The sequence below is a fragment of the Homo sapiens genome, chromosome 3, assembly GCF_000001405.40.
Source record: "Homo sapiens chromosome 3, GRCh38.p14 Primary Assembly".
NCBI classification, from domain to species: Eukaryota; Metazoa; Chordata; class Mammalia; order Primates; family Hominidae; genus Homo; species Homo sapiens.
In genome coordinates this window covers 175461550-175487521 of record NC_000003.12, presented here as the reverse complement: position 1 = coordinate 175487521, position 25972 = coordinate 175461550, and the positions used below count along the sequence as shown (strand labels likewise).

The 25972-nt window shown below is 33.6% G+C and overlaps 1 protein-coding gene across 23 annotated transcripts in view; it reads right to left on the bottom strand.

The window, feature by feature from the left end:
* The window catches only part of NAALADL2 (N-acetylated alpha-linked acidic dipeptidase like 2), a 1369567-nt gene that overhangs the window by 323027 nt on the left and 1020568 nt on the right, over positions 1 to 25972 (bottom strand). For all 23 annotated transcript variants that reach the window (XM_017006077.3, XM_047447876.1, XM_017006075.3 and 20 more), the window contains 3 exons: positions 24029 to 24121; positions 20338 to 20543; positions 15764 to 15883 (listed from right to left, as the gene is read on the bottom strand). In XM_017006077.3, coding sequence (XP_016861566.1) covers positions 15764 to 15883; positions 20338 to 20543; positions 24029 to 24121 — 419 coding nt within the window. The remainder of the gene's footprint in view (positions 1 to 15763; positions 15884 to 20337; positions 20544 to 24028; positions 24122 to 25972) is intronic.

Here is a 25972-nt window from a genome sequence, read left to right as displayed (position 1 = left end):
GAAGAAACACAGAAATCTGCTCTTAGTTCATGGATAGTGCTTTGGATGGGCAAATAAATTATGTTCATTTGTAGAATAATTACTTTAGAACCCACTAAGTACCAGATACACATTTAGGTTTCAGGAATACATCAGAGTACAAAACAGACAACTATGCCTCAGTGTCCTCCTGTGCTTTACATCCTAGAAGGAGGGACTGACAGAAACAGTCAATAAGTAGATTACATAGAATATTATACGTGCTATGATAGTACAGGGTAAGGGATTTGGTAGTGCTTGGGTGCAGTGGGGATTGCAAATTACAGAAGGTAGATGAGGTGGGTCTCGCTGTGAAAAATCACAATGGCAACAGAGTGAGCAAAGGGGAGAGTAGTAGATAGGGTCAGTCAAGTAAGAAGGCCAGGTTTTGCAGGGCCTCTCCGGCCATTATAAGGACTTTGGCTTTTACTCTAAGTGAAATGAGAGAAAGGGCACAGAATGATCTGACTTAAGTCTTCAAGGATAACTGGCTACTTTGCTGAGAATGGGTTGTATGGGGCAAAGGGGAGGAAAGTGGTTAAAAGGCTACTGAAATCATCTTAGATGGGATAAGAGTGGAGGGAGAGAAGGTGGCAAGATACAGTTGCATCCTGGCTGTAGGCTGACAGAGAGCCAATAGGACTTCCCACTGAAATGTACAAGTGGTATGAGATAAAGAGAGGAGTGAAAGAGGTCTCCAAGGTCTTTGTCCTAAACAACTGAGTGAGAGTTAAGGTGCCTGATATCGCACAGAAGACTGAAAAGAAAAAAAAACATTTCATATAGTAATCTGTGTTATGGCACTCATATCGTTTCTAAATCAGCCTCCAAGAGAAATTTTGCCACATTTAAAAAGTTTCATTCTAGAGAGCGAGTGGGGCCTCTCTCTTTGTGAAGCTATTTAAGAATGATAGCTCCAGAGATTTGGGGGTGTAAGTTCACACACAGCCTGAAGATGACGAAAAACAGAAGTCAGAAGTATGAATGTGGAGTTTCAAAACACAAAATTTATCATTGGTGAAGCCAAAATTGCTGAAGGAATAGAGAGAGAAATGCTAACTGGGTAACAAACGTCCTTTGAGTCACTAAGAGACGAGCTTCAGTGAAGGGAAGTGGAACTAGAGACTACGTAGTGAGGATTAGACTCCATGAGTCCTAGAGGTGAGCCTTCTTTTTAGCCTGTCCCGTCCCAGAAAAAGAGATTTGGGAAGTCTAGGATACTTGCACTCTGTTTTGAGGAGCAGGATAAAGGTAATATGTTATTCCCTTTTGACTGTACTTCAGATATGATGTAGTCTTGCAGTGGAAAAATAAGGTTTATATGTTTTGCAATATTTAAACTTGCTTTTGACAAAATCTCTTGATTTTCAGAACAACTTTTTGAAGTAGGTAAGACAAGTGTCTTAGTCAGTTCAGGCTGCTATAATAGAATACCATAAACTGGGCAGATTGAGCAACCAATGTGTATTTCTCACAGTTCTGAAAGGCTGGAACTCTGAAATCAGGGTGCCAACATGGTTAGAGTTTTGTTGTCAGCCCATCTCCTGGTCCACAGATAGCTGTCACTTCATTGTATCCTCACATGGCAGAGAACAAAGAGGAAAAGCAAGTTCTTTCCTGTCTCTTCTTCTAAGAGCTCTGTGACGGTTAATATTAAGTGTCAACATGATTGCATTGAAGGATGCAAAGTATTGTTTCTGGGTGTGTCTGTGAGGGTGTTGCCAAAGGAGATTAACATTTGAGTCAGTGGACTGGGAGAGCCAGACCCAGCCTTAATCTGGATGGGCACCATCCAGTGGCTGTCAGCGTAGCTAGAAAAAGCAGGAAGATGAAGGTGGAAAAGCTAACTTGCTGAGTCTTCCAGCCTTCATCTTTCTCCCCTGCTGGATGATTCCTGCCATTGAACATCAGGTTCCAGGTTCTGTGGCTTTTGGACTCTTGGACTTAGACCAGTGGTTTTCCAGAGGCTCTCAGACCTGCAGCCACAGACTGAAGGCTGCATGGTTAGCTCCCCTACTTTTGAGGTTTTGGGACTCCCACTGAGCCACTACTGGCTTCCTTGCTCTTCAGCTTACGGACAGCCTATTGTGGGACTAATACCTTGTGATCGTGTGAGTGAATTCTCCTTAATAAACTCCCTTTCCTATATATGTATATCCTATTAGTTTTGTCGCTGTGGAGAATCCTACCTAATTCAGACTCTGACCCCATTATGTGAGCATCACCATCATGAGCTAATTACCTCCCAAAAGTCCCACTTCCAAACACCATCACATTGAGGAATCAGGTTTTAACATTTGAATTTTGTGGAAACACAAACATTCAGTACATAGCAACAACATGAGTATTATTGTTCCTATTTTATAGAAAGATGAAACAAAACTGAAGCTAAGAGAGGTTAAGCAATAGTCAAGGTATTACAAAGCCAATACATTGTTAAACCAGGATCACTTTTTCTAGATATACATTCATATACAAATCTTGTGATCCCTGCATTCTTACTGTTACCCATTCTTAACCAATACAGTTGGGAAAGCCCAGGAAGTATTAAGGCAACTGGCAGCTATACTTCCACTAAAAACTAGTGTACACAGGCAAAGAGCACACTGATAAGAACAGCAAGTAACAGTTCTGTTGTCTTAACAGAGAAACACATAGTCAAGCTTTCACTTCTTGTTTCCATGTGACAAAAAAGCAAAGAAAAAAAGATCAAGTGTTCATGCTCCTGGGTAAGGTTGCTAATTTAACCAATGTAATTTGCTATCGATAATGCAGTCGTTAACTACAGCTTTTAGCAAGTCTTGGCCTCATTAGCCTCAAGTCTAATCAACACTAAATCAATTTATATAAACAAAATGTCTGTGAAATGACATATATCCCTGTACATATTTTACTGGGTACATTATAAAATGCTTCCCTACTATAGTATTTTAAGAATGATTTTGACATTATTAAAACATAATTTATTTTCTTTATTAAAGAAAGTGAGTTGACTTATGTTATTTTCTTAGAATTAATGGCAACAGTAAATGACTATATAGCATACTTAGTTTGAAACATACAATATCCATACAGTGGCATTTTAACTATGTTGACAGCAATTTTATAATGATTAAAAGGTATCTTGTAAACATGATTTATGTTACTTACATAGCATTCGCAAATAATTATTTCTTTTAAGAGATACTTTCAAAAACAGATATTTTCAGTGATTTGAAAATACTGATTATAATGCTGCTCAAATAAACCGTGAACTGTTTTAACAAATATGTATATATTATAAATGTAACTAATACATTTTTTTCTAAATGTGTTTTCCTAACAGATAAACTTTCAAAGTAAGAGGAAACATTTTACTTTTGGTACACCTGGGTACACTATTCATGGTAAATGGTATTTATCTGTATGGTTTTTCTTATAATTTCAGCCCTTGCCCAAATAAAGTATTTGACTTTGAAGTGGTCCTTCTACTAAACTGTGTTGCTCTTTAGTTATCTGTTTGACTAAGAGATTCAGTTGGTCATAACTTTACTCTGCTTCCAGGACTAGCTGCTTAAAAAATGTGAGGTTAGCCTGCTTCCAGAAAACAATATAATAATCAATAATATATAAAGATGTATTTAGTACAGGACCTGGGGTGCACATGCTCACTAAATATTAGTAATGGCAAAACCAGCAATTACGTTTGCGTCAAACTAATACTTATTTTCCCTTCTATTCTTCTCAGTGAAATGTCTGCACTGCTTTCAGTACCCAATGCTGAGACTTTTAATCACCCAAGCACACATTCAATTAATTTCTTACCCAAACCAGTAACCAGTAGCCCATTGCTTTTAACATGGGACATCTGTGTTTGAGTCAACGGTCCTCTGCAACCTAGTCCTGAACACCAAATGCATTCCCTTGAGATGACTATGAAAACCAAACATTATTGAAGTTCTAGCCCTGAGCATGGCTGACTTGAGGTCAAATTCAGTTACAAAAAAAATATTAATAGAAGTGGAAAAAAATTAAATGATAGATTAGGAGACATATTAGGTACAAGCACTTGATAAGTACCTTGAAAGGAAGAAAAATAAATAGAAAAATAAGAAAAAAATATTAGCAAAGAAGTCAGGAAAAAAGATGTTTAAAGGGTCAGGAAAAGGAGAAAAGGAAAGTTAAAAAAAAAAAAAAAGCCAAAAAGTAAAGTCAATTGCAATTAAATCTGTTTTATGCCTGGCACATAGCTTACTATGTGCATGCTTTCTAAAGACTTAATGACTCTTTTTTCCTCCAACATATCTCCATAAACTTCCTGTATATATCTTTAATAGAATAAGATGCAATTATTAGGATACAGAGGTTGAAAATATATGTTATTATATATAACACAGCAATTTGATATATAAAAGTTTTGCTAAATTAGTATCACACCCTAGGTAGGTTTATTTCTCAAGTAGTGATTTTGTGCATTTGTGAAATTCAGACCTTTTATTCAGGTATGTTTATTTTAAGGAACAGGTATGTTTATTTGAATGAAGTGGACTCAACTAACAGGTGTTCCTGTCCAAAAGACGTTGTTGGAATGAGCAGATAGGACACTTACAAACAAAAGTTAATTCCCCACATCTAGTAAAAAGTTTAAGGAAATTACTAAATGTCCAGAAAATAAGTAAGAGTATCAAGTGTTAATCTCAAAAGATTATGTTAAATTTCTACTATCCTTCCCTCATAAATTTTCCAGACCAATATCAGAATATTATCCAGATAGAGTATTAATGTGTCCTAAATTTACTATTATTTTGTAAGCTGAAAGGGAGAGATAATCTCAACAAAATTAGTAGGTTAGAGAAAACATAGACATGAATTAACTACTTTTAATGAAGCAATGGGTCTGTATGAAAAACTATTTTTTAGAAATCTGTGTGAATTGTGAACATGATGAGAAGATCTTTTGAGAAGATATTTCTGAACATATACAAATGATAACTTACACGTCATGATGAAAGATTTTCTCAAAGGGAGCTGGAAGTTATATTGTAATAATAAATGCTTTTAAAGACACTGACAGATTAAAAGACCGCACCATAAACCAAGGCTTTAGTTACTTAAAAAGCTTTTGATGAAATAATCTCTACATCTGCAGTCTACGGTTCCATATTTGAAGCTAACAATTTATGTGGTTTTATCTTTTGAGATACACTTGGTCATTGGAAATTTAATAGTCAACAGCAGCCTCTTGAAAACTTCAGATTTAAGGAGCCCCCTGTGCAAACTGAAGAATTCACTGAATATAAAATTATAGTAATTTTAGCAGACTTAGAATCTAATGATTACTTTAACATTCATGCTGAGATTTTTCTGGATGTTGGCTAATATGTATCCCTTAGATAAGTATATTTTAGTTTCTCCAATTTTTTTCTTATTGAAAAGTGAATAACTTTTAATATTTTTTTTCCCAATAGTACTGTAAGCTTCGCCTCAGTGCAATGATAAGTTTTTGTGTCTCTAGGCATGAGTTGGAACTTTTGAAAGATGAATTTTTTTCTGGAGATACACTGAATATACATGTATTAAAGTTTATATCTAATGGCACTCCAATCCAGAAGTAAATACCGATTTCTTTTACCGTAGGTTAGTTCTAGGACTTTTCATAAATGTAATTGTATAATATATAGTTCTGTGTCTAGATTCTTTTGCAAGTCACAAGGTTTTGCAATTAACCCATGATGCTGTATCTGCCAATAGACTATTCTTTTTTATTGCTAGGTAGTATTTCATTATATGAGTAAACCACGGGACAATTTATCTGTTTTCCTCCTGATAGACATTTAGGTTGTTTGGGCTATTATGAATAAAGCTGTCCTGAACATGCTTGTGTATGTTGTTGTATAATGTATTTTCATTTCTCTTGGATAAATACCTAGACTTGTGACTGTTGAGTAATATGACTGATATATGTTTGTCTTTATAAAAAATAGTCAAACCATTTTTTCAAGGGATGGCGCCATTTTACACCAGCACGAGTGAAGTTGCTCCAAATACCTATCAATTTATGGTGCTGTGGTCCTAGAGTCAGCATTTTGAAGCAGTAGCTTTTTGTTCCCCAAGCTTCCTAATTGAAAAGGGAAAAGAGTATGTAGACACAGCTATATACACACACACACACACACACACACACACACAGTGGCATTGTTAGTAATGACAAAGAAATCTTTGAAATGTATATAAATGTTAAAGAAAATGAATTGGTTAGTAAAGGCAATATAGCTATATAATAATACACATACATTAATTGGCCATTTTTATTTTCAAAAACAATTCAAACCTACAAAAGAGTTGTAAGTATATTACAATGAATTCCCATATATTGTTCATCTACATTCACTTATGTACCAATGATAATACTGCTTTTTTAAAAAATAGCAGCTACTTATAGTATTTTAAAAGGAAAAAATTACAGATCGCATTTCCCTTTAGGTAACGACATAATCTGCATGCATTACACAAAGAAAAAATGTTCTCAGTGTTTCTCTCTGGATAGTAAAATTATAGGTGACGAATTATGTTTTTCTTTTTGCCCATGTATAGTTTATACACTTTTTACAAAGAGCAGGATAAGATAATAAAAGGAGCTATGTTAGTTCTCAAGGAGCTATTTTCTAATATACATAGTTCTTTTATTTAAATTCTAGGTTAAAGTGAAAATGTCAATCACCCTTGTGAATCTTTATCAAACTAGAGCAGCAGCCCACCTTATTTAGGGATTGTACAATACCTTATTATTTTTGGATCCTATGATTACCTACTGAATATTACTGAAATCTGATTAATATTTTAGAAGTCTGTATAAAGCCAGAAAAAACTATTTTATTTCAAGGTTGACAACTTTATGTAAAACATAATTGATAAATTAATACCTTTCATTTAGATTCTGAAATTTCAAAGTAAATAATTCTGGATTACTTTACTTGAAAAAGGGTGCTGTGGAATAGAATACTACTTTTGATGCTATGATTCTAAAACAGATTTTTCTCCCTAAACCTCACTACATCATGTCTATTTCAATCCAGGCTACTGCCATCTTAAACTCCTTCTGGAGTTACCATTGATTACAGAAGACAAATGAGTTAGAGTTGCTTGTGGATGAGATGGTTGCCATTGATATATGTCTACAACAATGCGCTATGTTTATGTGGTTATACAGTCTCAGAAAAGAGTTGTAAACATTAACACTAGACCTAAAATTTTCATGGTTTCTTGTATTCCACCAATGTTTATCGTATATGGCTTGTAGATTTAGAGCCAGAATTTGTTAAGGCACAATATAGATAAACTATAAATATGAAAGCTCTTAGCCTAGAAACCAGAGGCACCTAGAAATAAATTATAGGCTCTTTTATATATTATAAAAGCTAAACAAACAAACACAAATAAAAGATGAATTTATGAATGAATTACTTTATAAATAAATGTTGACTAAAGCAGTCATCCATAAAAATATTCACTTCCTCTTCCCTACATCAGTGCAGTGTTTGAGCACCTGAAGGTAATTCTTCCTATCTGAGAATTCTTCCTTAGGCTGAATTGAAATTGTTTCTGTAAACCTTGAAGACATACATAAAATTACTATCCATGGCCCTTAGGAGAACTGTTTTTTCAGGATTAAAATAGCTTAATGTTCTGCTGCTCAATTTATTTCATAATTCTCACCTTAAAATTATAATTTTGCAACTAAAAATACAGTTAGTAGTAGTAACTATGGAGAGATTCATGTCAGGTTATAAGACACTTAAGGCTATAAATTTGCAGGTGAAATTCCAGATCAAAGGGAAGGAGTAATCAGTGCCTTCAAGCCTTATCAGCACTGTATATAGAGTTGTGCTTCTGAAAAAGTGTATTTGCACTGAAAAATGCAAATTGTGGATCTTGACATTTGAAAAATTCATTATCAAAGTGAAGATATTGGAAACTTCGTTTTTGTAGAATTTCATATTTTAAATATTATAGGGTTTGTTTAAAGCAGCATTCCTGTGGCCATTTTTCACAAGATGATTGAAGGAAAATGTTCCAGAGTAAAACAAGTTTGGAAAAGGCTGCATGTTCTATTTAGCTTTGGATCTTTATAATGCAAGATAACATACTGAAGGTTCTACTTTGTATACCTTTCATAATGCGCACTGGGAAATGTTTGTTCAAAGTAAGTTCATTGGTATATTTGTTTGTTTAACTATTTATTTAACATTATTATTACATTGATTACCTTTTCTTTCATTGAATCAAATTATTTTGTTAAAGATTCAAGCAAACCATTCAAACACAAAATTGTTTAATCAGGTTACAACTTAAAAAGAGAAATGGCAAAAACCAAGAATCCACAATTTATAAAATTTATCAAAGATAAGTACATAACAACAGATAATAAAATTACCCCAGTACTTATTTTTGAGACGGTTATTATTTTGTTCAGCAAAAAACTGTTTAAATTTATTTCATTATTCATTAAAATACTATATAAATTGTCATATGTCATAAGAACGAATATCACTATTGTAGTGTTATGTAAATTATTAATTGATAGCATTAATGATAGGTTTTTAACCCAAACATGTAAGACTTGATCAGTGTTTAAGGGGGGAAATAGAGCAACAATTTATCAGAGTAAATTTCATATTTTAAATGGAAAAGTGTACTGTACTGCATTAATGATACTGTTACAGAATTTTATCTAACCTCCCAACAGTAGTGATTCACTAATACCTGTCCTGAGTAAACAGTCACTCTTTCAAGTCCTGAAGAGGCCTGTGTCCAGTGTACCAATCAAAAAATTGCAGACAAAAAGTAACTCAGCTTAAGCCATTTTAACAATGTGATATTAATTATGACGGGATGGCTGAGTTCAAGCTAAATAGTATTTCAAGTTTCAAATTGTTTGGATTTCTTTTTGGTTACATAGTCCTAATATATAAATCAGCTGCCTTCTGAAAATTGGAGTTTTAAGCAGAATCTCACTAAGACTTCTCTTGTTATCTAAATCTAAATAAAAAGGGATTTACATACTGTCAGTATATACTGAACAGAAAACCTTGTAAAACAGTAGTAAACTGGAGGGATGCATTAGTTTTAACACAAAGCAAAACCTTGTAAACTCAGGAGATAGATAAACCTGCCAATAGAATCACAATTCTAAATGTGAATCTTTATCGAAGTGGTAACTCAGTGTAAAGAAGGGTTTTAAATCAGTTCATTAGTCTTTATGGTCGCTTCCGTTGACTAGAAGTAAAACCACCAGCAGAAAGGAAGATAAATTAAGGAGTACCCCCAGAAAAGAATTGCAATTCATGGTAAATAAGAAAACAGAATTTCTCTCATTAAAAACTAAACAAAACAAAAATATATAAACAAAACCCAAAAAAATCTATGTCATGTGTCATGAAAGACAAGTTAACAGAATGTTTCCACATCAGTTGTACTGTTATATCTTACAGGAAGCAGAAAAGAAATTAAGCTTTGTTTCAGTACTGAATTAAATCATCAAGAGCGGAGTGAGAAGACAGCTATTTTTATTTTAGCACTGTACCTTCTGTGATCTGCTACTATATATTCGGTCAACAATTCTTGTGGAAAAAAAAGTTGCAAGTAACCAAAAAAAGAGTGTTTGGAAAAAATAAGTCTAAATTGTGTCACCAGTGAAACAATATAAAATGAAGCAACAACAACAAAAACCCTTGAATGGCTCTATTGAGGCAGTAATGCCATCCAAACCCAGAGCAACACATGGACTGTTCATCTCACATTGTTTTCCACATTTTTTGCACAGTGACTATTTGTAACTACATGTATATGCAAAAGCATATTATGAAAATCCAGTAGCAGATAGAAGTCTTTGGTTAAAGTTGGAATAACAAACACATAAATATGAAAATGATATAACAGGATGGAGCAAAAATAGAAGACAAAGGAACGAAGGTACAGTAAATTAAGTGATTTCTGGTTAGGACTTTAATTCATTTGGCCTTTTCCCCTTTCAACAGCTCTAAAAAGTAAAATATGCAGGTGTTTTCCAAACAAAGTTACAGGCTTTCAATTATAAAATAAAGAAGTTCTATAATTCTTTGGGAAATTAATATGCTAAATATCATCATTCTGAATTGACTTTAGTCTGAAATTCACCCATGACGTGTTAATGCAGTCAATACAGAGTCAGGTTCGAAAGTGTTAGAAGAGATTTAGAAAAGTAGTAACATCTGTTCTAAAAGATGCTTGATGATGCATTTATATATTGATTTATATATACACTGAAAGAAGTTTAAGAAACATCTGTAAAGTTCTAAGCTATTTATAGGATTCTGGATTTGGTAACCTATCTGCTGTTTGTTTCTCAGCAAGTGTTCAAGAACACAGCTCTCAATGTTTTGGTGTTTGCCCCCAGAAAGATGATGTGGGCCTTTTCTCTGATGCCTGACCTGAGGAAATCCTTTCAAATATTAAAATCATAGCCTAGTGGTATTGTTTCAAGGGAATATCTATTGACTTATCCAAGAGCTTGTGCAAGCTCTAGGGTATAACAAGGTTTAATTTAGATTTATTACAAGACTTAGTTGTTATTTTTATTATTCCAGAATATGTAAATATAAAGTCAAGACAAAAATAATAAATATCTCTGTTACTTGAAAGTCAGGGCTCCAGTCACTCAAGCAAAAATGTCAGACGTGTTGTTTTTATACCCTAAAGAATTGTGGCATGGTCAGTCAGAAGGTAAAACAATACAGTGGCTGTTAGAGAAGTAACTGTGTAAGTACCTCAGCAGACAAAGCTGTGGCATTTTAGTCGCCCTCACACAAGAAGAAAAGAGCAGAAGCATAACAACTTTGCACTCAATTGAGCAAGAAAATGGGAATGAGCATTATTTCTTGTGATTTGAAGAGAAATACTGTTTTTTGTTTGTTTGTTTTTTACTTGATTGAAGGATTGAGGTTTGAAAAGACAGATGGCTAAATTTAAGATTCTGAGTCCACTCAGTTTTTTGCCACTGTCATATAATGCATGTTTCCAAATTAAACCAATCATATTTTCCCTTTCCTGTGAATTCTAGGATAGCACATATCACACTCACTCTTATATCTTAGCTATTTATGCACATCTGAAGTTCTTGGTAAAATTATAAGCTCCTGGGCAACAGGGGCATTTCATCTGCTTACTGTGTCCTACAACACTTAAAGCAATGCTGTGCACAGCTTGGGTTCTCTTTAAATATCTAGCACGTCAGTAGGCTTTGCAACAAACGGGATATTCACAATGAAGACATAATACTATAGACAAGTTAGGAGCTCAAAAACTCCAACGAACGTAGTTGACTTGAAATATATGTATGCATTTTGTGGTGCTTTGTATATAAAAAAAGTAAAACAGGAAATTAAAGAAGAAACTACAAAAATATCTTTGCTACTGTTTCAGAGACTTAAAACAACAACAACGACTACAACTACAACAACATTTGGCTGGGTGCAGTGGCTCATGGCCGTAATCCCAGCGCTTTGAGAAGCCAAGGCAGGAAGATCACTTGAGACCGGGAGTTTGAGACAAGTCTGGGCAACACAGCAAGACCCCCATCTCTACAAACTATTTTTTAAGAAATTAGCTGGGCATGGTGGTGCATGCCTATAGGATTAGCTACCTGGGAGGCTGAGGGTGTTGGATTGCTTTAGCTCAGGTGTTTAAGGTTACAGTGAGCTATGATCATACCACTTGCATTCCAGCCTGGGTGACAAAGTGAGACTATGTCTCTAAAATTAAATTAAATTAAAAAAACACTGTCTGTCCCCTGCAAAGTTTTACAATACTGATGTAATTATTTAGTTTTAATCAGGTTGGCCAGTTTCTGGCAGGTGCTGCAAAAGCAACATTTAAATAGAATATGGCTAGATGGACTGCTTTCATATGTGCAAATGCTGCAGGTTTTCCCAAAATAACCTGTTAGAAATTTCATTGCTATTTTCTTAAGACTTACAGAATGCTGCCTAAAATATGGATGACCAAATTATGTTTTTCTAAAGGCAAAATCAATACATTCTGTGATCTAGAAAAGATGATTTTGAAAACTAAGAGCAGAACAGCAACATATAGGGAGAGGTGCATATGTGTTTGTTTTGCATCTTAATTTTAAAACTATTATTTGAAGATAAATCTTATCTTTAATTTCATAATCTACTTTGCATGAAGGCATTTGTGTTTCACTAAGAGGTCACTCACCTGTACATCTTTTTGTACATTTAAGGAGTCAATGGAAATAAAATTACAAAAAAGGGCTTTTATCCCCCCAAGAAATTAGGTCTTAGCAAGGATCTCTTATTCTCTACTCAATCAGAGGTGCTGGCACTCCACTGATGTCTATAGAACATCCTAAGGTCTCCAGTAGAATAAATCAAGAAATAAATATATAATATATAATACACAAATATATACAATACTAAGTGTGTGTGTGTGTGTGTGTGTGTACTTAAATGTTTGTGCATGAAAGAATGTATAATTACAGTTTATAATGCTCCTTCAATATGAATACTGGGTTAAAGTAAGTTCACCATGTTCTTTATAATAAGGTGCTGGGGACTTGGGGCAGAGCAAGGTGGAGGAATAGAAGGCTCCACCGATTTTCCACTCAAAGTGGACACCAATTTAGCAGCTATCTACACAAGAAAAAACCTTCATAAGAACCAAATACAAGGTGAGCACTCAAAGTACTTGGTTTTAACTTCATATTGCTGAAAGGCACTGAAGAGGTAGGGAAAAGCAGTCCTGAATCACTAGTGGCAAACCTCCCCCCAATGCCAGCAGCAGTTGTGTGATGCTGAGAGCGTGACTGTGACAGAGATGCCGTATATCTTGATTGTGATTGTGTATACATGGTTATATACATTTGTCAAAATTCATCAAGCTGTACATTGAAGAATGGAGAATCTTACTGTATGTGAATTATACCTCAATATATCCAGTAATTGTGACTTGAGCGATAAGACTATCATATCAAGATGTTGTCTGATAGACCAGATACTGTGGGACTACCAACTCCTTGATTTGAATAACATTCTATAAATGTACTTAAAACTGGTGTTTGATTTAGGACATCCATTTTATAGTTTTGTTTCATATCAAGCTTGTAATCCATTAAAACATCCTATATGTATCTAGCTTATAAAAAATTAAATGCAGTATTTCATAATAATACTTTAAAGATTTCATCTTATGTATTTAAATCTATTATATGAACTTGATGAAATCTTTTGTAATCTACATATTGCTATACAAAGGATTAGATATTCTATACAGTCTTGTGTCATTTACAATTTAGTCAATATGCTTTTTTCACAAATCATCAGAAAAATGCAAATAAAAAAACCACAATGAGATACCACCTTACCCCAGCCACAATGGCCAATATTAAAAAGTTAAAAAACAGATATTGGCATAGATTGTGGTGAAAAGGGAATGCTTATATGCTGTTGGTGGGAATGTAAATTCGTACAACCTCTAGGGAAAACAGTATGGAGATTCCTCAAAGAACTAACAGTAAATCTACCATTCAACACAGCAATCCCACTACTGTGTGTACACTCAAAGAAAAATAAATCTAAACAAATTAATGAAATATCTTTGTCCTTAATCATTGATAAAATCTTCAGTATTGGAAATGAAGTTACATATGTTCTGGATGTTATCATTTTAGTTCTTTTTTATTTCAAAAAAAGGCTTTATGTATTTCTTTTAATTTTTACTACTGGTGAATTGTTTTAATTAAATCATGTAAATTACTGTAAAGTTTTGTTTTCTTCGTATCTCTTAACACTTATAGATTTGAGTTGTTTATAAAATGTATAAACCTTTATATATTTGAGTTTTAAAAATATATAATTTTTTAAAAATGTGATATTAAATTTTTGTATGAGAATATATATTAAGTTATTTATATTCATTCCATAAAATTAGACATATATATATAAGTAATCCCCATTGATTGAAATTACATAATGCTATCCTTTGCTTGAAGTTGTGATATTCCTAACCTTCTAAATTGTTCTGTGAAACATGAACACATACATACACAGACACACGATCTCAACAGAAAAAAAATATTTTCTATACACATTCCAGTTCATTTTTACATTTGTTAGTGTGCAAACATTTTCAATTATAGAACAGAAAAGATTCCTCTTCCAAAAAGTGAGGTACATGTTGACATGTACGTCATCATTTGTGAATCATCAATCATCACTTGTGATTGAGAAACCATACTGTATTCTCACATAATTAGGTTTAGATACTGAAATATTTTAGTCCTGTTATAAGATGTGCAAAGATATTTTAAATAGCATTATATTCTCAGAAATAACATTATGTAGATTTAATACTTCTTAATAATTAACTATTTCTATTTACCCATCAATTTCAATGATTAAATATCTTTCAAGATTCTCAAAATATAAAACTTGTCACACACGATAAGAAAATGACACATTTTTAAACCAACCCTCCTCTATTTCTGGATACTTGAGATCACTATTTCTTCTACCTTATAATCCACTCATTCAGAAATATCTTAAATTTCCAAGGGAGACATCCGAGGCTCATTTGCTTTTGCAAGGCTTCCAAGCAGGTAGGAGTAAAGGAATTCAAAGTAGTACACAGAGCAGGAGAAATTAACTTACAGATATGGATATAATTTAGGCATGCACACAGGGGATTGGCTGATTTTAAATGTACAGAATTATCTACTTCATGTTTCATAATGTCTTCTTTATTGTACTACATATGGAAATGCCAATAAAAACTATTAAGCTAAAAATACTTTATGAAAGTTGTAAAATGTTTAGTTTGCATTACACTTCAATCAAAAATTATGGCTCATTCAAAGCTCTGTTCATTGCCTCTCTCTTTGTCTAGTTCAGTTCCTGCAATACTCCCCAAAAAGTCCTGTGGGCATCTGAAAGATTGGTTCCAATATATAAATTAACAGACATTGAGGCTAAGAGGAAACCATCCCTAAGTTGTGGTATGATTGTTTTCATAATGAGAAATAGCACATATTTTATCTGTAGTGAAATTCATAATAAGAATGCAGAAATAAAAGTGTGAACTCTACTAATAAACAGGAAAAAATGTTCTGCTAAATTTTTTAAATTAGGCGAGAAGTGACAAAATATTTTCAAAATAAGTAACTCCAATGAAACATAAAAAATATATGATTTTTCAGGATACTAAGAAAACATGTTTTCTTTTTCCACAGGTAATTTTTCAAACAATATTTTCTAAATCTTTTAAATTTAGTTATCACTATATTCTTGCTCTCGGGGGGCCTACACAGCAGTTGTAAAGATAGGACAGGTCTCACATTTACTTAAAACAAGAATGAAGAGGAAGAAATTCAAAAGTAACCAGGCTTATCATAAAATGTCAAGATTACAGAATTGGGAATTTGAGAGCTAAATTCATATATTTTTTAAAAATATATTTTTGTATACCTTCTCTATAACTGTGTGACTCATGTCTTCTAGAAATATGACCATAAAAGAGTAGCAAGTGAAGAATTCCAGAACATAAGAAATTAGTTAAGGTATATTGATAAAATGTCAGCAATAGATCATTTCTTAAAACACTTATACAACATTTGATGCATATTTAAAAATAAATGAAAAAATCAAGAAATGTCAAAATATAGAGAAAAGGTCGGTTTTGCATAATCATTTGATACAATAGTGGTTTGTCTTACCTCTACTACCAGTTGCTGAAGAGATGGTGATGCTACAGGATACAGACTAGAGTTCCCCCTTATGGGACTGTGGAGGCTAATATAAGCCACAACATTTTTCTGAAGAACCTTCTTGAAATCCTGAAATAACAAAAAAAAAAGGATCTATCTGTAAGACAAATAAATAGATTCTACTTTATTAGTTAGATGTTGAATAATGAACATTTCATTTCATACTTAAAATTATTATATTGCATAATTACCTTCTTTTTTTTTTTCTTTCTTTCTTTCTTTTTTTTTTTTTTGAGACAGACTCTAGCTCTGTCACCCAGACTGGAGTGCAGTGGCGTGATCTCAGCTCACTGCAAGTTTCACCTCCCGGGTTCACGCCATTCTCCTGCCTCAGTAGCTGGGACTACAGGCGCTGGCCACCCCTCCAGCTAATTTTTTGTATTTTTAGTAGAGACAGGGTTTCACCATGTTAGCGAGGATGGTCTTGATCTCCTGACCTCGTGACCTGCCAGCCTCAGCCTCCCAAAGTGCTGGGATTATAGACGTGAGCCACCGCACCCGGCCATAATTTCTTTCTTAAAAAAGTGATCCTATACTATGTAATAGTGTACACAAAGATTATAAAAGGATTTTAAACAAGAGTGGTAAGAGTTAGATATATAATAAAATATATTAAAGCATGTTCCTGACAAAAGTCAAATTTTAAGAGAAAATGTTCTTCAAAGGTTAACACAGTATGGATTTAACTACAGAATATGAATGCAACTTAATTTTAGAGTTACTGAATAAGAGGGGAGATATAGATAAACCACTTCAGTGATGAATAAAACCAGCCCTTTACTTTTGAAGCAATGAGCTACGCTGCACAAAATAACCCTGTGTTACCAGTAAAATGGGCCATAATACAATGTAATCTTGCAAATATTACCTTAAAAAAAACCTGATGCATTTCATGCACACAAGCTACACCAAATGATTCCATATAATAGTTTTCCACTTCTCTTCTGCTCCTTACCACACAAAATTGAACACCACTGATCCTATTAAGAAGGACCACTAAGTCTTTCTGCTATTTTCCTGTTTTTTTTTGTGCAAGCATTTAACAAATAATTGTCATGGTGGCAGTTCTACAGAAATGTCCTAAAAGATTACATTATGTCATAACTTGGGAAAGTATCTTTCTTCTTCTAATACTATGAAATGGAAGACTACAAGGACTCATACACCTGCCAAATAGATAATGTCATCCTATTTTATTTTTATTTTTTTCATTGTAAATTGACAGCTTAAAATGATATAATTTTATGGAGTACAAAGTGATGTTATGATTTATGAATATAATGTGGAATAATTAAATTAAGCTGGTTAACATATTCATCACCCCAAATATGTTACATTTTTTGTGATGAGAACACATAAAATTTACTGAACAATTTTGAAATGTATCATACTCTATTACTAAGTATATTCACCATGCCACACAATATATAATAGAAGTTGACCATTTTCTCCCCGTTCCCTCCATACCCCAGGCTGAAACCACCATTCTACACTCTGTTACAGATGAATAGAAAAAGGAAATGTGTTATATATACACAATGGAATACAATTTAGCCTTGAAAAACAAGAAACTTATCTCTTTTGTGATAACATGGATGGAATTGGAGAACACTATGCTAACTAAAAGAAGCCAGGGACAGAAACATAAATACTGCATGCTTTCACTGTTATCCATATTTTATGTTGAAAATTCAGCCATACCTCTGAAAGAGGGCTGAAAAGACAATCATTTAAAATTAGTAAACATTTTAAGCGCACATAAATGATGAATTTTAAGCTTGAGTAATTTTTCCATAATATTGTTCAAAAATATCTGTTACTTAAGTGCTATGAAATATCAGCTTCTATTAGCACACTACCACATAGACACTGTCTATATGTTAGTCTATATAATTCTCATGAGACCCTCATAAGATAGGCATTAGTAGACTCATTTGAGGAATCAAGTCTTAGGGAAGTTAATCTTGCCTCAGATGACATATTCTATGGTAAAGAGAATTTGAACTATGACTTCTTTTACTCCAATATCTATAATATTTCCACAATAGCCTCTGACAAACGAGGATTCTTCACAGAAGAAATGGTACTTTTTAAAGTATAGAACCTATTTAGCAAAATGTTATAATTTTTCTCAAAGATCAAGATCAGTATTGAATCAATTCTCTAATAATTCTGTCTATAAATTCCATTGTTAAGTTTATTGACCAACATCATCTAATCCTCTTAACTACCACTGTGGGTTTCCAGAGTTTTCTATGCAAGCAAAATTAAAAGGGGCAATATGACATGTCAATAAGGGCTTTCCTCACTCCCCTTCACAGGGGAATATATTTAGAGCATAAATTAGTTTCAGTCTAACATAAACTCTTTCATTCTCAGGATTACATTTGACATGAGTAGGCAAAACAGGACAACTAGCAGTTTTCTAAATTTGTCTTCAATAGGATGTTTACAAAATGGCTTCATGAATTGCACTGAAACAATCTGGTGAGACACAGTAAATTATAAAAATACATTTTATAGGCCAATAATCAAATGTATATTATTTACCATTTTCATTACTCATATGTCTTTGCCCATCTAGTCACCTAAAATGCCAGTAAATGAATGTATAATCACTTGCTAAATGTAAATACATATATAAACATTCAGAGACATTGGTACTTAATTGTTTTGAATAGGAATAACCTTATTAACAAAATTTTTTTCCTGTGAACTCCCACATTGTAGTTGTTGTATTTTTAGCATCATTGACTAAGAAAATATACAATTATCAAAAGGTACAATGACCCCACAAAAACTTAAGAATGAATGTGTATTAACCACAAAAATATCAACTTACTTTGACAAAAACTATCGCTCACACACATGCAAGCCCACATTGATTCAACTCACAGGCTCTGATGCTTGATGCTCAACTAAACTTTTTAATAAAATTTTGCATGCATTGGGGTTTGAGATGTTTACCTTAGAAACTATTAATTTAGACAAGCCTAGTCTATTCTAAAACATAGTTCAGAAATATATATTTTAATTTAGAATTAACACAAATTAATTGTGACAGTTACTAGATAGGTATCTAGAAGACCTAAAATATAGTTTGAAATAGCAAAATACATCTTTGGAATTCGAAAAGAATCTTTAAGACATTTTAAAGATATGTGCTTTACTGTTACAGGAAAACTAAAACATTAATTTCATTGTTTCTGATGTATTAAAAATGGTATAGATTACAAACATATTCCCTAAACTGTTCTTTAACTTGTTTACCAATCTTTAAAGTAATTTGGAATATGAGTTTGAGAGGTTGGTTCAGCTATTTCATTTCCAGCTTACTTACAAAGTTGTCAACTTAAAAAGATTCTTTAAGCAATGGAATTTTTTCATTTGAAGTAATTCTTTTGAATATGGCCCAAACATTCACACCACTCATTTGCATACAGAAAAGCATTCCAATTTGCAGTGTGTGAATCTTGATGAATTTTACACTGAAAAAATTTTTTCATCTTTAAGTCTATTCTTTACTTCAAATTAAAAAAGATACTTGCTATCTTCTTTTCTATACCTTTTTAAATATTTTCTTTGATTTAATAGATATTTTATCTTTTTTGAGTGATTAAAAATAAAAATGTAGCAAAATAATTTCCTATTAAATTTTTCTCCTCAGAGCTGAAGTAGTGAAAAAACTACAGTATTAAATTATCTTGCTTTCCTAGTAAAATTATGTAGTGTTTTTGGTCTACATATGTCTATTGAACCTCTTTTTTAAAACAAATCACAAAAGTAAATAGACTTTCTATCAATCCAATTATCAGCTATCATATTCCATTAAAAATACAGTGCATTTATGAGACCCAGGTCTGTCAGAAGAGTTTGAGACTTAAATTCTCCAATATTTCAGTTGTATTCTAACTGTACCTCATTGCATGCTAGATTTCATTTGGATACAGGTTCCCTAAGGTGGTTAGGTAGGTAGGTAGGCAATAGATAGGCAGGTAGGAGACAGAAGGTAGGGAGATAAGGGTGAAAGAGTGGAGTGGTAAAAGGAGGAAAAAGTGGATTTTAAAATGTATTTTACATTCAATATCCATATTGAAGAGAGAAAATATAATGCTAAGGCAATAAACATTTAATATAGGAGACTGTTCCCTAATTCCAGATCATTCCTAGAAAGTGTAGAAAAAGAAAAATAATAAGTATCATCTGATCCTTTTTTGTCCAGTGCCTGTCATCCTGTCTTCTAAGGAGAAATACAATAATAAGGTAAACACTATTGTGTGTTAGACTGTATCAGGGTTTGTAAGTCTGGTAACAATAGGGGTAAGATATTTGAAGGTCATACGTAGTTTGCTGTGGTCTAGCTCTAATTCCATATTATTATTATAAGCCATCTCAGCAAATTAGGCAATATGACACTTGTGTTGAGAAGCACATTATTGCCCTTGGCTTTGAAAATTTTACTTTGTCTACTTTAGCAAACTAAGAAAAGAAAAGCACTGTAATTAATGTATATTTTGCTTTACCTCTCCCCATTCATATGAGCCAATATTGCCAAAAGCTGTTCCTCCCCAAGAACAGAAAACAATAGTTCGGTCTGGTCTCCACCCTCTCTTAACTTTTGACATCAAGGCACGGATAAACGCTGTGATTATTGCAGTACTACTGGCCCATTCTTGTCCATTATAACTGTGTGCAGTGTGATGATGGCTGCCAACTATGATATACCGGTCTGAAAATAGAAAGGGACAAGAGCCATTTAAAAAAATGTAAACCTTAACAATAAATTTAATGACATTTACATAATTCTATTGCACAACTGAGCAATAATTAAGCAAAATTGCTCTAATAATTAAGACTACTTTAATTTTTTTGCTCACTGTCTTAATTCACACATCTGTGTATATCAAAGCAGAGGCAGCTGCTGAACCCAATTATGAATCCAAAGCTTAGATCCATATTACTCTCCTTTAGAACATGAATATTAATTAATGAAGCATGTAAATATGCCACAGTGAAACCCTTATCTAACATTTTTCCAGACTCAGAGTGGGAAGTGCCCTGTAAACAATGTATGCATGCTCAGTAAATATTAATAAACTATTAATACATTTAAGAAGGCGCTTTAAATATTAAAAATGTGGTAGTCATGTATGGATTCTGCAATAAATTAATTCCACAGGGAATTAATTACAGCTTCCAACTTAAAATTTTAGGCCCTCTCCTTTCTGTGAAGAAAAAAAATAAAATTCACCAATATCAAAAGTCATTCAACTGTTGTAAAAGTTGCCTTTTACATATTTTATTTAATGCAATCATTCAAAATGTATTAGATACACTACTAGGAGAGCCTTCCTAACACATGGAAGTAGCTGTTCAATGTACATTACTGAATATTTTCAATAATAAGGCTGAAAATGCCCCCAGAGAGTTTCCTCTGATTTTCTTGTCAGCGAATGTTATTGGTAATAATAACATATCTGAATTTATCTGAGCAAGTATCTTCATACATCTGTGCAAAAATTTTTCTTCATTGAATATCATTTTTTTACCAGATGTCCCACAACTGGATGGTAAATTGTTCAGACCCTGAATCCAGCCTGCTTGGGTTAGAATCCAGGCTGTGCAAGTCACTAGTTGTGTGACCTTGGAAAGCTTATTTCAACTTTCGATGCCTTAGTATTTTCATCTCTAAGGTAGGAAAACAAATAGTACATCTCCATTTAGTTGTTCTGAGTTTTAGGAGTTACTGTTTGTAAGCCACTTTGAACAATGCTCAACACAAAGTAGGTCTTACACATGGGTGGAATAAATGAATCACCCTTTGACTTATAACACCAGAAAGCTACCTTACAAGAAATGCCACAGTATGAAGATATTTTAGTTTTCCACACAGGAATTGGCAATGGATTTGATCTGCCAACATTTTATTAAGGTTTAATTAATGGGCGGTGGCTCACGCCTGTAATCCCGGTATTTTGGGAGGCCGAGACAGGTGGATCACGAGGTCAGGAGTTCAAGACCAGCCTGGCCAAGATGGTGAAACCTCGTCTCTACTAAAAATACAAAAATTAGCTGGGCTTGGTGGCGGGCACCTGTAATTCCAGCTATTCGGGAGGCTGAGGCAGGGAATTGCTTGAACCTCAGAGGCGGAGGATGCAATGAGCGAAGATCGTGTCACTACATTCCAGCCCCGTGATAGAGCAAGACTCCATCTCAAAAAAAAAAAAAAAAAAAGATTTAATTCATGGTATACATAGTGTGAGAGTGTGTCTGCAAATGTTAAAAACCCAAGAATTTATTCACTTATCTCCCATAAATGTCTCAAAAGTTTTGCTTGGAATTGTCTGCATTCTAAATAAACCATATCTAAGAAACAATGCTAATTGATTATTGTTTCTAATCTTCAAAGTTATTAAATAAAATGTTATGTAAATAGTCTTTTTTTTTTTTTTTTTTGAGATAGAGTCTCGCTCTGTCGCCCAGGCTGGAGTGCAGTGGCGTGATCTCTGCTCACTGCAAGCTCCGCCTCCCGGGTTCACGCCATTCTCCTGCCTCAGCCTCCCCAGTAGCTGGGACTACAGGCGTCTGCCACCATGCCCGGCTAATTAAATAGTCAATTTTTTGTAAAATTCAAATAAGCAAAATTTGAGAAACTCTGCATATCATATACTGAAGAATACTAATGGTAAAATCGATTTTTTCAATTCCAGGAGTTTATTTTGTACAGTGAATTTTCTTCACTCTAAAGCTAGTATAATTTGTACAACTGGGTTTTCCAATAACAACTTGCGAATGTATCAGTGATAATAAATATTCTAGTGCTTCAATTGAGAACCTTATGATGGAAATTTGTTGAAATTCAATAGTAACAATTTTCAAATTTATTTATATCTTGTATTTAAAGAACTATAATCAGAGGTTGTTCAACATTGTGACTGTAAAGAAATCGGAGAAAATAACTGGCTTTCATGAACTTTGTAAGAGTTGGCCAGCAAGAAACTGGGAGGCTGTAAAACTTGATCTTAAAATTCTGAGCTAGCAACTAGGCCAATTTTACTAAAGTCATGGAAAAGAATAATTCTCCAGGGAGAACTTGCGTAAATGTCCCAAAATCAACAGAAGTAGCAAAAGTGTAATAAAAAGAGTGTTACATGCTACACTGTATAACAGGCACATTAGACAGTAATATGTGATTCAGCCTTACGATGTGTTTGGAAGTATTGCTATTAATCTCTTAATTAGCCTACATAATATCTGAAGATTTCAATTTTTTTTTTTTTTTTTGAGATGGAGTCTCTCTCTGTTGCCCAGGCTAGAGAGCAGTGGCATAATCTCAGCTAACTGCAACCTCCGCCTCCCAGATTCAAGCGATTCTCCTGTCTCAGCCTCCTGAGTAGCTGCAGGTGACCATTTTCATAAGCACATTGAAAACCTAAAGCCATGCAGACATTTGACAAATTTGGCAATGGACCAAGGATACAGAGTGGGACATAGAATAAAACTGGACAACTAAATTTGGAGACCAAAACTTTTATTTAAAAAAAAAAATCATTAAAAACTAAAATCTTTCTTAGCCAGGCATGCTGGCTCACCCCTTTAATCCCAGCACTTTGGGAGGCCAAGGCTGGTGGATCACATGAGGATAGGAGTGCAAGACCAGCCTGGCCAACATGGTGAAACCCTGTCTCTACTAAAAATACAAAATGAAAAATTAGCCGGGCTTGGTGGTGGGTGCCTGTAGTCTCAGCTACTCAAGAGGATGAGGTACAAGAATTGCTTGAACTTGGGAGGCAGAGGCTGCAGTGAGGAAAAAGAAAATCATTCTTTAAAATGTCTTCTTGATCAAAATAAAATTTTCAGTGGTGTTATGGTGAGTATAAGAAAAAAGAAAACTTTGGCTTTTTTAGAACATGCCAGTTTACCAAATCTAAACTCTGTTTCTTGTTTCATCTCCTCCTGAGAGATCCCCACCTCTCTCTCTCTCTCTCTCTCTCTCTCTCTCTCTCCCCCGACTAAGATTTATTTTAGAAGAGATACGGTAGGAAAGAGAAGGAAGACCCACTTCTTAGTTTCAAATTTATCTACTCTAAGAGTGGGACAAATTTCTAGTTATATCTCAAGTAGGATATTTAAGTATAATATTAAATTATTACAGAGCATTTCCTTGTATAGTTTCATATAAAGTGTAGATTATAAATTTTCAACCCTACTTACCTGGAGATGTCAAGCCCATTACAAATCCAACAACATTAGTAACTGTTTTCAATTTTGTGACTGTCTGAACTTGCATGCTGACGACTCTTATTTCTGAAAAAATAAAAATTTAAAGACTTTTGCTTCTTTATATTTTATTGTATTTTTTAAACCTTAAAATTTATTTTATCCAATATCATCAGCAAAAGAATTCCACAGAATTGAATGTTCTCAGATAGCCAGTTATACTTTTTCCGACAAATATTTATTCAATACTTTGTACAGATTCTATTTTAGGTGTTTGTTACGCAGTGATGACTAAGATACAATTGCTAGCCTCTTTGAACCTCAGAGCCATAAATAGACACTTCTAAACCTTACATTGAGTTCTACAATGAGTGTTCATCATGAGAGCATTGAGAAGACCTTCAGGAGATGTGGGGAACTCATATTTTTAAAAACAGAAAAAAATAGATTAAAATATTTCCAAAGAATATTGAATGCTTTTCTATTTTCAGATAAAGAACATGTGGACAATAACCTTTCCAGTATGACTCACTATTTTATTAACACTTTAAAAATGATAAATAAAGCATTATACAACATAAAAGGATAAATATTCTTAAAGCTGTACATGTTTTCATATATTAGAGTTTTTATTTCTGAGTTTGTAGGTCCCTTACCTCTATTCTAAATCTGTACTAATCGCTCTACCTTTTTGAATTTTTCTGTTTATGTTTGATATTCAAAAATTTTGCAAATAAGGCAAAGACACCAAACAGGAAGGACTCTAGTCACAGAACTGACATAGTCTCTGGAGATGAAATGTGTTAATCCCGTATTTGATGGATCCTGAGAAGTCTGGGTTGGGAAGTGGTTCACAGGATCTTTAAAGTTTTCCTTAAAGCAGAGGTTTAAGAGTAGCCAGGTGTTAGTGTCAGGGCAGAGCATGGCACATTTGAAAGCAGGTAATGCAAAGTAGCCACATTATACTGGCAGGCCTACAAATGTCACTTCTTACTGCTAGATAGAAATTGTAATAATAAATATATTACTTCTTTCCCTCAAGGTACACTTTCAAACAAATTAAATGGAAAATCCGTATACTGAATCCATTAAAATAATAACCAAAACAAAAGTAAAGAGGCCTTTAGAAAATGCCTGAGTGCCTTATCTATCTATGAGTAAATCTACGTAGAGTCTGAGCATTGTGCTTTTAATTTAGGTACTATGCATTTTCGTTTGTTTTTCAATTAATAGACTTTGTTTCTTAGAGCATTTTAGGTTTGCAAAAATACTGAGGAGAAAGTATACAGTTCCCCAATACCCTCTGTCTCCCAAGCCTCCTATTATTAACATCTTGCATTACTGTGGAACATTTGTTACCCTGATAGACCAATAATGACACATAAAGTCCATAGTTTACATTGGTATTCACTTTTTGTGTTGTATATTCAATGGGCTTTGACAATGCATAATGGTGTATATCCATCATGATAGTATCATACGGGATAGCTTCACTACTCTAAAATCCCCTGTGCACCACCTCTTCAGCCCTCCTTCCCTCCCTCTCTCCCCAGAAACCCCTGGCAGCAACCACTGATCTTTTTATTGTCTCATAGTTCTGCCTTTTCAAGATTGTCATAGCACTGGGCTCATATGTTTGTTTGTTTTGATTGTTTGTCTAATTCCCTGCTCAAGCTTTGTTCCAAACGATCCACATAAGTGAACTTTATAGACTCTTTACCTTACACCTTTCAATGATCTTTCCTGCTTATTTTAGATACAGATATAGGTGAAGAATCTTTTCTGGTTTTCTAAAATTCAATATATTTTTGTCTAAGTTAGCAGCGAGAAAACGTCACAATATGTATACTGTACTACTTACAATATTACCTTGCATTAATATAGTGATTAAAATTTACAATAACCATTTTCACACACATGCACTAATTTTTACTGGAT